The 18,043-nt window shown below is 37.5% G+C and overlaps 1 protein-coding gene across 14 annotated transcripts in view; it reads left to right on the plus strand.

The window, feature by feature from the left end:
- Positions 1-18,043, plus strand: part of SYT16 (synaptotagmin 16) — a 300,664-nt gene that overhangs the window by 145,212 nt on the left and 137,409 nt on the right. For all 14 annotated transcript variants that reach the window (NM_001367650.1, NM_001367661.1, NM_001367659.1 and 11 more), the window contains one exon: positions 12,759-12,938. Coding sequence is in view for 6 of the 14 variants with exons in the window: in NM_001367659.1 (NP_001354588.1) it covers positions 12,759-12,938 (180 nt within the window). In the remaining 8 variants the exon portion in view is untranslated. The remainder of the gene's footprint in view (positions 1-12,758; positions 12,939-18,043) is intronic.

Raw genomic sequence — 18,043 nt, forward strand, 5'->3', positions numbered from 1 at the left:
CTTGTCTTATTTTGGATCTTAGAGGGAAGCTTTCCACTTTTCATTGTTGAAATGATGTTACCTGTGGGCTTTGAATAAGTGGCCCTGATTTTGTTGAAGTAAGTTCCTTCTATACTTATTGAGAGTTTTTCAATTACGAGACAATGTTGAATTTTGTCAGATGCTTTTTCTGCATCTATTGAGATGATTATGTGATTTTTATCTTTCATTATGTTAATGAGGCATATTTCATGGATTGATTTGTGTATGTGGAACCATCCTTGCATCACAGGGATAAATCTCAGTTGATCTTGATGTATGATCCTTTTAATGTGCTGTAGAACTCAGTTTGCTAGTGTTTTTGTTGAAGATTTTTGTATATTCATTTATCAGGGAAATTGGCCTCTAGTTTTATTTTCTTGTGGTGGTTTTGTCTGGTGTTGGTATTTGGTGATAATGGCCTCATAAAATGAGTTTGGAAGTGTTCCCTCTTCTTCTCTTTTTAAGAGTTTTAGGATTGTTATTAATTCTTTAAATGTTTGTTAGAATAAACTTATGAAGCCATCTTGTCCTGGGCTCGACTTTGTTGGGAGTTTTTTTATTATTCCTTCAATATCCTAATTTGTCATTGGTTTGTTCAGGCTTTCTGTTACTTCTTGTTTTAGGTAGGTCGTATATTGTTAGGAACTTCTCCATTTCTTCTAAGTTGTCTAATTCATTTATATGTAATTATTCATAATATTCATTTATGATTCTTTTTAATTGTAGGTTCAGTTGTAATATCTTCCCTTTCATTTCTGATTTTGAGTTCCCTTTTTTTTCTTAATTCAGCTAAGGGTTTGTTGATTTTGTTTATCTTTTCAGAAAAACAACTCAGTTTTTTCAGTTTTTAAAATTGTTCTTCCATTCTCTAGTCCATTTTTTTTCTGATCTTACCTTTACTATTTTCTTCCTTCTGCTAATTTTTTGTTTAGTATTTTTTTATTTTTCTGTTTCTTGAGGTATATAGTTAGGTTTTTTATTTGAGATCTTTCTCCTTTAATGTACGTATTTATTGCTTTAAACTTCTCTTCTAGTACTGCTTTCCTGAGTCACATATGATTTCGTATGTTGTATTTTTTGTGTCTTGATAAATATTAATTTCCTTTTTGATTCATTCTTTGACCTCATAATTATTTGCGTGTATTATTTAATTTCCATGTATTTGTGAATTTCCCATTTTTTCTGTTATTTCAGTTTTATTTCATTGTGACTGAAAAATGTATTTGTAATGATTTCAGTCTTCTTAAGTTTGTTAAGAATTGTTTTGTGACCTAGCATGTTATCCATGCTGTAGAATGTTCTGTGTGTAATTGAGAAGAATGATTACTCTGCTGCTGTTGGGTGGAATGTTCTGTATGTATCTGTTAGGTCCATTTGGCCTGTAGTGTTATTTAGTTCTGCTGTTTATTGATTTTTTTTGTCTAGATGGTCTATACATTATAGAGAGTAGGATATTGACGTCTTTTATTATATTGCATTGCTACCTATTTTTCACTTCAGATTTGTCAATGTTTGTTTTATATTTCGGGTGTTTTCATGTTTGGAGCATATATATTTTTAGTTGTGATAGATCCCTGTAGAATTGACCCTTTTGTCATTATGAAATGCCCTTCTTTGTCTCTTGTGACAGTTTTTGTCTTAGTGTCCATTTTGTCTAATATGAGTATAGCCACTTTGCTGTCTTTTGGTTACTATTTGCATGGAATATCTTTATCTACCATTTTCCTTTTCAGCCTATGTGTGTCCTTAAATCTAACGTGACTCTTTTATATGTGGCATATAGTTAGGTCTTGTTTTTTGTTTTAATCTATTCAGCCATTATATGTCTTTTAATTGGAACATTTAGTTCACTTATGTTTAATGGAATTATTGATAGATAAGGGCTTACTATTGCCATATTGTTAATTGTTTTCTGTCTCTTTTGTAGTTCTCTTCTTCCTCTCTTTTTCTCTTAGTGTCTTTCTTTGTGTTTTGATTTTTTTTATAGTGGTATGCTTTGATTAATTTTTTTATCTTGTGTGCATCTACTGTACTTTTTTGTTATGGAGTTTACATTGAACAGTTTATAGTTATAGCAGTGTATTTTAAGCTGATAACTTCAATCACATACACAAGTTCTGCACTTTATGTCTTCCCCCAACGCTTTGTGCAACTGACGTCATATTTTGTTTCTTGGTATGTTATGTTTTTATGAACAAATTTCTGTGGTTATAGTTATTCTTACTATCTTTTCTTTTAATTTACATTCTTGTGTTAAATGAGATTTACACACTGCCACTACAGTAGCACAATATTCTGTGTTTATATTTACCTTTAGTAGTGAGTTTTATATTTTCATATTCTTTTTGTGTTCTTTAGCATCTTTTCATTTCCACTTGAAGAATTCCCTTGAGTACTTCTTGTAAGGCAGGTCTAATGGTGGTGCACTACCTTAGTTTTTTTGTGGGGCTCGGGGGACAGGGTTTCACTCTGTCACCCAGGCTGGAGTGCAGTGGTGCAATCATGGGTTCACTGCAGCCTTGACCTCCTAGGCTCAAGTGATCCTCCCACCTTAGCCTCCCAAGTATAATAACTGAGACTACATGTCTATGCCACCATGCCTGACTTTTAAATTTTTTGTAGAGATGGGGTCTCTCCATGTTGCTCAGGCTGGTCTCGAACTCTTGTGCTCAAGTGATCTGCCCACTTCAGCTTCCTTAACTCAGTTTTTATTTGGGAAAGTCTTTATATCTTTTTCATTCTTAAAGAACAGTTTTGGTTTTTTGCTTAGGATTGCCTTCTTCATTCAGGCTCTTTTTTGTTTGCATATGAATTTTAAAGTAGTTTTTTCTGATTCTGTGAAGAATGTCACTGGTAGTTTGATAGAAATAACATTGAATCTATAAATTGCTTTGGGCAGTATGTCCATTTAAAAAATATTGATTCTTCCTACCCATGAGCGTGGAATGTTTTCCTGTTTGTTTGTGTCATCTCTAATTTCTTTGAGCAGTGTTTTGTAGTTCTCATAGTAGAGATCCTTCACTTTCCTGGTTAGCTGTATTCTGAGGTATTTTATTCTTTTTGTGTCTATTGTGAATGGGATTTTGTTCTTGATTGGCTCTGAGCTTGGATATTACTTGTGTATAGGGATGCCAGTGATTTTCATACATTTATTTTGTATCCTGAAACTTTGCTGAAGTTGTTTATCAGATCAAGGAGCTTTTGGGCAGAGACTATGGGGTTTTCTAGGTATAGAATAATATTATCTGCAAACATGGATAGTTTGACTTCCTCTCTTCCTATTTGAATGCTCTTTTTTTCTTTCTCTTGCCTGATTGCTCTGGCCATGACTGCCGTACTATGTTGAGTAGGAGTGATGAGAGAGGCCATCCTTGTCTTGTGCTGGTTTTCAAGGGGAATGCTTCCAGGTTTTGCCCATTCAGTATGATGTTGGGACAGAACTGGGAGGCATCACATTACTTGATTTCAAAATATCCTACAAGGCTACAGTAACCAAAACAGCATGGTATTGGCACAGAAACAGACACTTGTGTCAATGGAACAGAATAGAGAGCCTAGAAGTAATGCCATACACCTACAATCATCTGATCTTTGACAAAGTCAACAAAAATAAGCAATGAGGAAAAGACTGCCTATTCAATAAATGGTGCTGGGATAACTGGCTAGCCATGTGCAGGAAATTAAAACGGGACACCTTCTTTACACCATATACAAAAAATTAACTCAAGATAGATTAAAGACTTAAATGTAAAACCTAAAACTATAAAAACCCTGGAAGGTAACCTAGGAAATACCATTCTGGACATCAATCCTGGTAAAGATTTTATGACAAAGATGCCAAAAGCAATTGCAACAGTGACAAAAATTGACACCTGGGACCTAATTAAAGGAAAGAGCTTCTGCACAGCAAAGGAAACTATCAACAGAGTAAACTAACAACCTACAGAATAGGAGAAACTATTTGCAAACTATCCATCCAACAAAGGTCTAATATTCAGAATCTATAAGAAACTTAAAAAAACTTACAAGCAAAAATGAGCAACCCTGTTAAAGAGTGGGCAAAGTACATGAACAGACACTTTTCAAAAGACATACACGTGGCCAACAAGTAAGTGAAAAAATGCTCAATGTCACTAATCATTATATAAATGCAAATCAAAACCACAAAGTGACATCATCGTATACCAGTCACAATGAATATTATTAAAAAGTCAAAAAATAACAGATGCTGGCAAGGTTGTGGAGAAAAGTGAACACTTATACACTGCTGGTGGGAATGTAAATTAGTTTAGCTATTGTGGAAAGCAGGTTAGTGATTTCTGAAAGAACTTAAAACAGAATTACCATTCAACCCACCAATCCCATTAGTGAGTATATAGCCAAAGGAATATAAATTATTCTACCATAAAGATACGTGCATGCATATGTTCATTGCAGCACCATTCACAGTAGCAAAGTCATGGAATCAACCTAAATGCCCATCAATGGTAGACTTGATAAAGAAAATGTGGTACATATATGCTGTGGAATACTACATAGCCATAGAAAAGAATGAGATTATGTCCTTTGCAGCAACATGGATGGAGCTGGAGGCCATTATCCTAAGTAAACTAACACAGGGACAGAAAATCAAATAACGCCTGTTCTTACTTATAAGTGAGAGCTAAACATTGAGAGCACAGGGACACAAAGAAGGGAACAACAGACACCAGGGCCTACTTGAGGATGGAGAATGGGAGGAGGGTAAGATTTGAAAAACCACCTATTGGATACTATGCCTATTACCTGGGTGATGAAGTAATCTATACACCAACCCCTGTGACATGCCAATTTAGCTATATAAAAAACCTGCACATATATCCCTGAACTTAAAAGTTAAAAAAAAAAGTTTTGCCAGGTAAATATTTTTGTTTTGTAGTTTTTCTCCCAGTACTTATATCATCCCATTGTCTTCTGTCCTGCAAGGTTTCTGCTGGGAAATTATCTGATAGTCTGTTTGGGCGTCTCTTGAATGTGACATGTGGCTTTTCTCTTGATTCTTTCAAAATTTTTCTCTTTGACTTTTGACAGTTTAATTCTAATGTGTCTCGGTATAGATCTTTTTGTGTTCAATCTAGAGAGTTTTGAGATTCATAAATCTGGATGTCTATGTTCCTCCCAGTATTTAGGAAGTTTTGGTGATTATTTCCTTAAATATACTCTTTGCCCCTTTCTATATTCTCCTTTTTGGACTTCCATAATGCATATATTTGTTCACCTGAGAGTGTCTCATGAGTCTTGTAAACTTTCTTTACTCTTTTCATTCTTTTCTTTCTGTTCCTCTGACTGGATAATGTCAGATGACTTGTCTTTGAGTTCACTCATTCTTTATTCTGCTTGAGTAAGTTGAAGCTCTCTCTTCAGTTCAGACATTGTATCTTCAATTCTAGTATTTGTGTTTGGTTCTTTATTTCTTCTGGCTTCTATTTATTAGTTGTACTTCTCATTTTGCTCACATATTGTTTTCCTGATTTAATTAGTCTATTTGTGTTTTCTTATAGCTCACTGAGCTTTTTAAAGATGGTTATTTTGATGTATTTGTCAAGCAGTTTATGTATCTCCATTTCCTTAGGGTCAATTTCTAGAACTGCAATAGTGTCCATGGAATAACTTAATCGATAAATATTGTGTAAGTTCTGACTGCCCCACTGACCAGTTGTTCCTCCATCTCTCTCCCTCTCCTCAGGCCTTCCTATTCCTTGAGACACAACAATATTAAAATTAGGCCAATTAACAACCCTCCAATGGCCTCTGAGTATTTAAGTGAAAGCAAGAGTCTCTCACTTTAAATCAAAAGCTGAAAATTATTATACTTCATGAGCAAGACATGCCCAAAGCTGAGATAAGCCAAAAGCTAGATCTCTTGTACCAAACAGCTAGCCAAGTTGTGAATGCAAAGGAAAAGTCTTGAAGAGAATTAAAAGTGCTACTCCAGTGAACACACAAATGATAAGGAAGCAAAACAGCCTTATTGCTGATATGGAGAAGGTTTTAGTGGTCTATATAGAAAATCAAACCAGCTATAGCATTCCCTTAAGGCAGTGCCTAATCCAGAGTAAAACCCTAAGTCTCTTTAATTCTATGAAGGCTGAGAGAGGTCAGGAAGCTGCAGAAGAAAAGCTTGAAGCCAGAAGAGGTTGGTTCCTGAGGTTCAAGGAAAAAAGCCATCCCCATTACATGAAAGAGCAAGGTGAAGCAGCAAGTGCTGATGTAGCAGCAGCAAGTTATACAGATGGTCTACCTAAGATCAGATCTTCAATGTAGACCAAACAGTCTTCTACTGGAAGAAGAGGCCACCTAGGATTTTCATGGCTAGAGAGGAGACGTCAATGCCTGGCTTCAAACTTCAAAGGGCGAGCTGGCCCTGTTGGTAAGGGCTGATGTAGCTGGTGACTTTAAATTGAAGCCAATGCTCATTGACCATTCAAAAAATTCCAGGACCCTTAAGAATTATGCTCAGTCTTGTCTGCCTGTGCTTTAGAAATGGAACAACAAAGCCTGGATGACAGCACATCTATTTATAGGATGGTTTACTGAATATTGTAAACCCGCTGTTGAGACTTACTGCTCAGAAAAAGGAGACTCCTTTCAAAATATTACTGCTCGCTGACAATGCACCTGGTCATGCAAGAGCTCTGATGGAGATGTATAAGGAGAAAAATGTTGTTTACATTCCTGCTAACACAACATCCACTCTGCAGCCAATGGGTTCAAGGAGTAAGTTCAACTTTCAAGCTCATTATTTAAGAAATATGTTTTGCAAGGCTATAACTTCCATAGATAGTGATTCCTCTGACTCATATGGGCAAAGCACATTGAAAACATTTGGAAAGGTTCACCATTCTAGATGCTATTAAGGACATTTATGATTCATGGGAGGTCAAAATATCAATATTAACAAGAGTTTGGAAGAAGTTGATTCTAACCCTCTTGGATGACTTTGTGGGGCTCAAGATTTCAGTGGAAGAAGTAACTGCAAATGTGATGGAAATAGCCAGTGAACTAGAATTAGAAATGGAGCCTAACGATGTGACTGAATTGTTGCAATCTCATGGTCAAACTTGAACAGATGAAAAGTGGCCTTCCTATAGATAAACAAAGAAAGTGGTTTCTTGAGATAGAATCCACTCCTAGTGAAGATGCTGTGAACATTGTTGAAATGACAACAAAGGATTTAGGATGCTGCGTAAACTTAGTTGATATAGCAGTGGAAGAGTTTGAGAGGATTTTGAAAGACTTTCTGCTGTGGATAAAATGCTCTCAAACAGCATCATATGCTACAGAGAAATCTTTCATGAAAGGAAGAGTCAGTTGATGAGGCAAACTTCATTGTTGTCTTATTTTAAGGTAACAGCCACCCCAACCTTCAGCAACTACCTGTCCTGATCATTCAACAGCCATAACATTGAGACATCCTCCATAAATAAAAAGATTATGTTTCACTGAGGGATCAGTGATTTTTAGCTTTTTTTTTTTTAGCAATAAAGTATTTTTAATTAAGGTATGCACATGGTTTTTTAAAGATATCCTGCTATTGCACATTTAAGAAACTACAGTATAGTGTAAACATAACTTTTATATGCACTGGGAAATAAAAAAATTGTGTGACTTGCTTTGTTGTGATTTTTGCTTTATTGTGATGGTCTGGAGCTAAACCTGCACTATATCCAAGGTATGACTGCATTTTCAATTCTCTTGGGTGCATACCTAGGAGTGGAATTGCTGAGTTACATTTGGAATTTTAAACATGTCTAAACAGGGCCCTTTTTGTGCAACCCTGATTAGGCAATCCTATAAGTCTTGTGTTGCCGCCTTCTGAGTCATTGCTATGACACTCTACTTATTTAGAAAGCATGTAATCAAATCTACAGTTTAACATAGCTATGGCTAAGAGTCCTTCATGCACTTCTTTAGACTTCTCACTAAGTACTCATAAGCACAGAAAAAGATGAAATTGAAATTAATAGATTCCGGAAGAAACATGAACTCTTTTGAAATAACCAAACTTGCCTTTCTCTAACCTCTCTCTAACTGAACTAAGCTTTCTCTTTCCTTAGCTAGACTTGAACTTATTTCTAGTGTTCCCCATCCCTCACCCCTGCCCCAACCTGAAAGCATGGAGAAAGACCATATCTTAACTGTTTGTCTCTGACTCAGATATTCAAAGGTCATAATAGTGCATATGCCAGAGTGGTTATAAGCATGTTTTAACTTCTTTAACTTAGTGAAAATGTGTAGGGAATGTTTAATATCTGTCAGATTGTAGAGGAAAAAACAAATAGGGAAAAATGAAAGTTTGTAGCTGAAGAAATAGTAATGTAGTTTAAGATGGAACAAGAGCAGTTGAAATAGAATAAATTATCGAAGATGCAATTGAAGAAAACTCTCCTAAGCTTGAAAAAAAAATTGTGGATATCTGATGAAATCTGGCTTCCAGGAAAAATGAACAAAAGAGACTCACAGAAGGATACATTCTGGTAAAATTTTTGTGTTATAAAGGAAAAGCTTCTAGTAGCATACAGACTGAAAAATTCTGTTGCCCACAGAGTAACGAAAAGTAAGCTGCATCATCACACTTATTTATGGAGCATTAAGGCTAAAAGGTAATGGAGCAATGTCTGTATAGTTTTGGGAAGAAAAAAATATTGGGACTTACTTAAAAATGTTATACCCATCCATAGTTAAGCCATTACTACAAGAATTGTTATTAACAAAAATGTTTCTTCTCCAAAAAAGCAGAGTTATTTTGAGTAACATAAGGGCCATTTTCTACACTTTTTCTTGTGTCTTTGGAGATTATATTGAATAATCTCTTCATATTACCTTCAATCTGTGAATGTTTTTACATTAAATTCATTAATATAAGCATATGAAATAGTATATCAATTATGATTAAAAAAAGTTAAGAAAAAATTATTTACCAAGCTAAAATATTAACTGTGACAGGTGATAAGATTGAACATTATCATCATTTTTATATTTTCTAATATTTTCCAAACATTCTACTCTATGCATGAATTGCTTATTTTTTCTTTAACTTATTTAAAAATAATTAAAACTTTTTAATAAATACAAATATTTATAAGCCAAAACAGTGAGGTCTTTACAATTTTATATTTGCCATGTAGATAAAGTGACTGAAAGGAAGCACACAAAATCTTAGTAGTGAGTTGTTTTATCTTTTTCCATATTTTGCAGATTTTATGTAATGAGTTTCATGCTGCTTTTATGATGGAAAAAGATCCTTTATTCAAAAATAAAAATTTAATTTCATTAATTAATGACATTATAAGATGAAGATGTTTCTGCTTATACATGAATCCTCTTTTTCCTAAGACCTATCTTAATGTAAATCATATCCTATGTTGGTAGTTTTGCTGACACCCTTGAGGTATGTCTTTCCAGGAGTTTTCACTGACAGGCACATTGGCCAATGTGTTGTAACATAGAAGAGTTCCAACATTTATTCAGGCAACAAATTATTTATTGAATGTTTACCTTTTGCTAGCTGCTGAGAGTACAATGAGTAACTCAGACATAGTCCCTGTTCTTATAAAGTTTAAAATTTAACATTTGAAATTGGTTGAAGAAGCTGTCAAGGGCTTGGTAGGTGGCAACACACTGTAGAAGCATCCAGCTTTGTCTAGAAGAACAAGAAAGGTTTCAAAGGAAGCATGGTATCAGATTAGCCAGAGGAGCAGTTGTCCCAGGGAGTTGAAATATGCAAAGATCTGGAGGTGTGACCTACGTTTGGGGAACCAGAAATAGGTGAACACAGCAACAAGAAAGAGTTTGATGTTGGAGAATGATGAGCGATAAAGACTGGAATCAGTATCCAGGTCATGAAGGGCCTTGTAACCTGAGTTAGGGAATTCAGATTTTGTCCTCTGGGTAATGGGATGCCATTGGATGGTGCATTAGTTTCCTAGGGTTGTTATTGCAACAAATTACCACAAACTTGGTGACTTAAGACAACAGAAATCTACTCTCACAGTTTTGGAGGCCAGCAGTTCAAAATCAAGGTGTTGGCAGGTTGGTTCTCTGGAGGCTCTGAGGGAGAATCTGTTCCGTGCCTGTCTCCTAGCTTCTGGTGACTGCTGTCCACCCTTCGCAGTCCTTAACTCGAGGTTTTGTAACTCGAATCTCTGCCCTGGGCTTCATGTGGCTTTCATCTCTCCATGCCTTCTTTTTTTGCTGTCTCATAAGGACACTCATCATTGAATTTAGGTGCTACCCTAATCTGGGATGAACTCATTTCAAAATCCTTACCCTAATTACATCTTCAAAGACCTTTATTCCATATAGGGTCACCTTCTGAGACTCATGGTGAACATATGTACTTGAGGCCACAGCTCAACCTGCTACAGGAGGCTTTAGAAGGGCAATTGAACAAACTTATAAATGAAATGACTTATACATTTCAGAATGATTGTTCTGGCTATTGTGTGGAGAATGGACTTGAGGGGGCAAGGTTAGAAACAGGGAGGTCAGTGGGAATCTAGGTATAGAGTACCAGGAACTTTAGAGGTAAGAAAGTGGAGATGAGGCTGGGTGCGGTGGCTCATGCCTGTAATCCCAGCACTTTGGGAGGCCGAGGTGGGAAGATCACTTGAGGTCAGGAGTTCAAGACCAGCCTGGGGAATATACCGAAACCCCGTCTCTACTAAAAATACCAAAATTAGCTGGGTATGGTGGCGCATGCCTGAAATCCCAGCTACTCAAGAGGCTGAGGCATGAGAATCGCTTAAACTCAGGAGGCGGAGGTTGCAGTGAGCCAGGATCGCGCCACTGCATTGTAGCCTGTGTGATGGAGTAAGACTCTGTCTCAGAAAAAAAAATGGTGATGAGTGCAGAAAATACTTTGAAGATGGTTGATTGTGGAAAGAAGAAGATAAAGGGGTGTGGTTGAGGAGCATGTGGTGGTGAGGAGGGAATTTTAAAGGATGGGAGACACCTGGTTCATTTCTCATGCAAATGAGAAAGACACTGCATTCACAAGGGAGAGTGGCTGACAGTATAGGAGTGAAGGGCAAAAAGCTAGAGAGAAGAGGAGGATGGGATCCAGACCTCAGACTGAGTACAAAGCAGCTGGTCCATCCCATATTTGACTGCTCCTAGATATTTTAGTAGCTCTGGAAAGTTGGTGATGAGAAAGATGGTTTACTCCTACTTAAGGACTCTGTTTGTCAAGTGCCACATCAATTACTTTCCATGTGTTACCTCTGTTAATCTTTGATGTAGCTGTGTTTATTTTCTCCTTTTATAGTTTAGCACACTGAAGCACAAAGAGGTTAAATAATTTGCCGAAGCCACACAGATAGTAAGTGGTATGTCATTTCAACCAAGCGCTGTGACTGCTGATCCCTTGCCTATAACTACTGCTACCGGGTACTGCTTCTGAAGGGAGAGGGCATAATCAATATGCATGTACTTTATTTTTCATGGTATGTGTTGGTTTTGATAGCAGGCACTGTTGCTATTTTGCAGACTATAAAGCTATTATCTTGCCTGCTATTTTTGTTTTGTTTTGTTTGTTCTTATATTGGCTTGCCACTAGGTTGATTCAGTAAGGCAGTATCATTTATTTCTTTATCTTTTCAAGGTGTTGAGATTGGTTTGATTAATCTTTTCTCTATTTATCTGGATAGTAAGGTTAGGTGAGTATTATCTCTTCATATTATTAAGGCTTTGTATTATTTGTATTATTAAATCATATATTAAACCTGCCCACTGATTAAAGCTGCTCTTAGGAGATTCATTTTCATAAGCGTTCACATATACCCAATTCCCTTGAATCATTCTTGATATTTGTTCTGTAATCTAACCCTTTATACAAGTTAATTTCTGGATGTCTTTACTGAATGTTACTTTGGCTCAAATGTCACTTCCTTAGAGGATTCTTCTCTAAACTCTGAACTAGCTTCTCTGGTCTCCCTGTTATATATACTTATAGCTGAATGCAATGGCTGGGACTCTTTGAGGCATACTGGGTAGTACTTAGGCAGGTCAGTTAAAGGGCAGAGTTTTTTGATACTGATGAGGAGGAGGAGGGGAAGGAAGAAATGGAATTTCATCTGCCAAAATTCTAAAATATTAGTAGTCAAAACTACAATTTGCATTTCTTATATGGATGGCATGAATTATTAATTTTCTTATTGCTGTTGATAACCATGATCAAATTGCACAGCTGGATTTGCAAAAATGTATCCAGGAAATGACTTTCCCTCCAATCGCTAATATTGGTAGAATTATTTATCTGAAAATTTGTCTCAAGTGATGATTGTGTAAGCTTTAGGCAGCTGCATTTTTGGAGACTTGCTTTTATAACACTGGTCAACCATGTCCAGCTAAACCCATTTGATTGAACTCTGTCTTAATTGTGTGTTTGAAGTTGAATACTGGGCTGAGGACAGGAGCAAGAAGAGTTGTACTCCAGGTAGAAGAAACTACACATTCAAAGGTATAGAGGTCTCTCATCTGAGGAGCCAGCATCACAGGATGTACTGGCCAACAGTCCTTTTCCTTTCCCCAGTACACAGTCTTGGGGGATGTCAGCCAGAGTCAGGACTTGTAGAGTGTTTGTCATTTCTCATTAATAAAAGTAAAAATTCTGAATAGCATTGATCACAATTTGTTAGAACTGAAACTTAGGTCATTCTCATTGTGATGATATTTTTTTCTTTGTGTTCTCTCACCAGTCACTCCTGAAGCCATTGGCTTCTTGTCTGCTGTTGGGGTCTTTATTGTTCTTCTGGCCGTCCTCTTCCTCTTCATCAACAAGAAGCTGTGTTTTGAAACGATAGGAGGCCTTCCTTTCCTGGAGCATCGAGGGAAAAGAAAGCATTCTAAAGACAAGACTGGGATTCACAAGGGGCTGGGTAAGCATTATGCTTCAAATTCTCCTGGGCTTGGCAACTTGCTGTGGTCTGGGTCAGGGTGGACATGATGAATCGACTTTACTAAAGAATACATTATCTTTATGAAAGTAATGTTCTCCCTAGAGCTCAAGGAGCAGATGGGAAGAGGCTCTGACTACCACTTCCCATCTTCTTAGCTCTTTAGAAGTCTCTGTTGAGTTTTCCTCTGATGAATGCTTGGAGAAAAAATATGTGTTCTGTTTGACAAGAGCCTTGATGCGTTTTAGTCTCATGATGTTAGAACGATGTTGGCATTTCACTTGTTAGCTGTTTTTGAGATTTTTCAGTGCTCAGGACCATGTCCCACCTTGTATGGCAATGGTCACTTTTCCAAAGGGAGGTTTTTACTCTTTAAGCTCACTGAGTATACCATGTCACTTACTCACTGCCTTCAATTTGATGAGGGAAAAATAACACACTTAAAGAAATAATTGGCTTCCTGCTCTTAAAGGACATATTCTATTTTCAATTACTGAAGCCTAGAACTTTGTGATACAGGATGTTCTTACAGAGGGATGGTTATCATCACACAGATGTGGGACATTTAAAGAGAATACTCTTATCTTACAGACGATAACTTTGCTGTTTTTTTTTTTTTATCAGTCTGATTATTACTCTCCTTTTCCATACCCCACGAGGTATGGGGCATGATGTACCTGGTCAAGGAGCAACCTTACATTTTTTTGAGTGAAGGGAAGGTCTTGAGGAGAGTACCCTCCAGGTATCCTACGTTCTTGATGTGTTCTAAGTATGCCTGGACCAAGGAGAGGATTTGGGTTACTGATATGGCAGCTTTTGTAGCCATGGATAGTTCAGCTTTTTTGCCTTGTTACGAGAAAGGCATAATGTAGGAATAAAGGCATATTATCTACTGCTTATAACAAATTATCCCAAGACTTAGTAACTTAACAAAAATTCATTATCTAACAGTTCTTGAAGTTCAGAAATTGAGGAGTGGCTTAGTTGGGTGATTCTAGATCAGGGTCTGTTGTAAGGCTGCAGTTAGAATGTCATCTCAAGGCTTCAGTTAGAATGTCATCTGAAGGCTGGACTGTGGTGTCAGAGTCCCCTCCAGGATGGCAAAAGGCCTCAGATCAGATCCATGTGGAACCCTCCACAAGGCTACTTGAGTGCTTTATGATGTGGCAGCTGGCTTTCCCTGGAGTGAGAGATCCATGAGAAAGCAAGGAGCCACTGCTCTTTTTATGCCCTAGCATGGGAAGTCTTACAATGTCACTTTTATCACATTGTGTTTGTTCATTGAGCACAGCTCAAGCTCTACGTTTAGGAAATTCACTTCTACTTTTTGAGGGGAAGAGTATCAAAGAGTGTGCAGATATATTTTTAAATATCTCTGTGAGATAATAATAATGGGAGAGGTGTAAATTGCAGATTTGACAATTGCTTTGGCATTCCTGCTATCGCAGTGGCCTTATTTTTTGAACTTCCCATGGGACATATGACTTATTCTGAAAATAGAATGGAATATTTTAATTACAGCTTGCCATGCAAAAGCTGGGACTTATGAATGGTTTAGACACTATTGTCCCAGCTGGGGCATAGGTGAGTGAGACGAACAGATGTCTGTTTGGCCATGGGGTGGTATGAAGGTAGGATTCATCATGATTCTATTTCTCTCCCTTCAGCAGCTGGCTGTCACTCGTTATGTGACCTTGGCAAATTATGGAACCATTATGAACTTCAGTTTCCTTGTTTGCATATTGGGATTATCAGTACATCTCTCACAGGGTCAACCCAGATTAAATTAATTAATTCTGTAGAGACACCAGCATGGTGCCTATAGCAATGCAACAGCAATAGCAAGTCACAGTAATGGCTGCGAGGAATGACATCACACATTAATGAATTGTATTCATTACTTAAATTGGGAGATTAAAGTTGGTGATGTTTTCTCCTTTGCAAACTATAATGGTTATGAGGAACTGAGGTTAGAACTATTTAAAATATTTCCTTTTTGTCTTGTTTGACATTTTATCTGAATATTTTAGAGACAATTATGAATTATACTTGCAAATAAGTTGAGGTTTTAAGAATGTTGAAACAATAACAATAAAGCATGAACAAAAGCTGTTCACTCAGGAAACACTGAAAAATACATGTCTCAAATTCAGAGTGGGGTCATGTAAAGGGAGCTTTAAAAATAGTTTCTTCAGGAGCATCCCCAAATTATAATGTCTAAAAAGCAAACACCTTCACTTTGACATTTCTCCTTTTACAAGTTTAATTATTGTTATCAAAAGTCTTTGAAAAACGTGCTTCTACCCCATATTGTGTCTAACCTTTGATATTTGCCTTAATTATCCTCAGAGTACTGATTTCTCAGTGAAGTTGGGATGTTCTTAACATATTTTGACAAACGTAAAGAAGGAAGGCAGGCAGCCTAGTGTGGTGGGAAGAAGCCCAGTACAGACAGACAGAGCTTACTTTTGCCACTAATTGGCCACGATATTTTGGGAAACTCACTTCACCTCTCTGAGCCTTAAGTCTTCATTTGCAAATTGATGAGTCTGGACTAGGCTTCTCCCATTCTCATTCTGTGATTCTGTTTGGTTCTTAGGGTTACCATAGCAACTTCTTCTCTAGCTTTCAGTCTATGAATGGAAGAGAACTAATAAAAATGCGACCATCCTACTCTTAGATTAAACCATATAAGATTGCCATTTTTGTTGATAAAAAAATGATAGAATATCAGAAACTGAATTATTTTAATTTAATATATGTGAGGTTCTGAAGAATAAAATAATTCCTTTCGATTATGTGGTAACATCAGAGAGGCAAGAGTGGATGTTTATTTTCCAAACCTACTATGCAAAATGATTTGCTTGACAAAAATACCTTGCTTTCCTTTAGGCTATATATATTTTAAAGTTTAAAGAATTTACACATGCCATTCTGTCTGGATTTAGGCAAGGGGACAAAGAAACTGGAATGGTGTTTTCCTAATAACATAGGTAATAGTAATAATAATAATACAGATAATGATCATTGGTAACTATTGTTTATTTAGCAATTAGTATTGCCAAGCATTTTACATGCATTGTTATTCGAAGTATTTTACATGCATTATTTGATTTCTTTATGTAATGTTCTTGTGTTGCTCATTGACAGTGATTGCTTTGGGGAAGGATGGATATCAGTTGGAACAAAAAAGCCAATATTCAGCTTTGAGATAAAAAATTGATTAAAAATAAAAATTTCACAGTGAGACAATAGTTTTTAAAAGAAGCCCAGCTTTGAGAGAAGGCGGGAGAGAGAAAGAATATTTCGGTTGTTTTGTTTTGTTTGCTGCCCCCTTCCAAAAAACTTTATATTCCAAAAGCAAAATTTAGGAGTTGGCGCAAAGAGTTTCATTTTAAGAGGCACATTGTCTATGCTTTTAAGAAAGCATAGACAATGTGACATGAGGGCATTTCCTCCCAGGCAGGGAAGGGAAGAAGAATGCCCTTCCTCTTCTGGAAAGGGCAGACCATAACTTGAAGTGGTGAAAGGAAAGAGGTTTGGAGACCATGAAGTGTTTCCTGGACCAGACCCTGAGAAGGAGGACAGATGTGGGACCCAGTCAGGCCGGTTGTGATAAGAAGGTTGGAATTCAACACGCCCGAAGAAGAGTCAGAAAGGAGAGTGCCGCATGCTTCTTTTTGGAATTGTGGCAGGAGACTGCCTCACTGGTGTCCCATGTGGGCCTGGGGGGCTGTGGTGGGGCAAATATACTGGTGGTGCCGGAGGGAGAGAGAACTTGAGAAGACGCCGCTGCTACAGTTCCTCCAGTGAGCAGGAGAACACTTGTTTTAGAAATTTCTGCCTGACCCTGGTGGTGGGAGCGGGGGCAGAGAAGATAGCAGAGGAATGAGTCAATGTGCCTGCTGGGGAGTTATTGCAGCTTACCATGAGGTGGGCCTGTATTGGAGGCTGGAGGATGAACAATCCAAGGCCTTATGTAGTCAGAGCTGGCTTCCTGGGCATGGAACTGCACAACTGCACAAAGCCTACACTTAGAAGGGCCCTTGTGCTTAGCTTAGTGATGATGTGCTGTTGCAGTCTTGAAATCCTTAGTGATTTTCAAGGGCCCTGCATTTTCATTTTGCACTGAGTCTTGCAAATTATATAGCTTGTGCTGCCTAGGGTCATCACCAAGAGGTACTCCTGCTGTGGAATGCTGTAAGGCAGAGGTTGATTCTCCTGGAGTCAGCAGGAGCCAGCAGGAACAGTGCATCATGTTAAATAAACTCACACCAGTGCCCAGATGCTCCCTGCTGTAAGGGAACATGAAGGTGGGAGTGGAAATCCCAAAGACTGATACTTTATCCAAAATGAAATTGACCGAGTTACTTTGAGTAGCAAGTTTAAGTTTAGTTTCTCAACACTGAGTTGGGAAGATGGAGGATTCTCCAGAGAAAGATAAGAGCACTGAGTAAGTAAGGAAACAGGTTTTGTACATTGAGGCAAAGCTAGTGCTCAGCTGGAGCTCAGAAGGATGGTTGCTAAAATGTGACAATTTCTCCCTACCAGTTGGTAGAAAGGCCCAACTGGCTGGTGCCTGCACAAGATTACTCTCTGCTCTCTACCTGCAACTAAACAGATACCTTCTGATTCAGCAGGGGCTTCTGACCTGCCCCAGCAGGTGTGGCCAGATTCTTTTTGCTTGGGCCATAATGACTGCTGTTATAAAATATTTTTCATTTTATTTCTGCATTTAGGTGAGAGTATGTTCAAGTACACGTGCCCCTGCACTTACAATGGTGTTAATTCCAGATAAACCCATCATAAATTGAGAATATTAGATAAAGACAAAAAAATCATGTGTTGAACCATTGTAAGTTGAGGACCATCTGTGCACCTTTCCCACTCACAATTCAACAAACAGGTGGTAATATAATCTCCATTTTATAGATGAGAAAACTGAGGGTGAGAGAGGTGAATTTTTTTTCAAGCTATTAAATGGCAAGGCTGGGAGTCAGACTAAACATTGCCTGACCCCAGTGGCCAAGATCTTAATTGCCTCATGTGTCAGTCCATTTTCATACTGCTATAAGTAACTGCCTAAG

This window comes from Homo sapiens, chromosome 14 (assembly GCF_000001405.40).
Source record: "Homo sapiens chromosome 14, GRCh38.p14 Primary Assembly".
Taxonomy (NCBI): domain Eukaryota; kingdom Metazoa; phylum Chordata; class Mammalia; order Primates; family Hominidae; genus Homo; species Homo sapiens.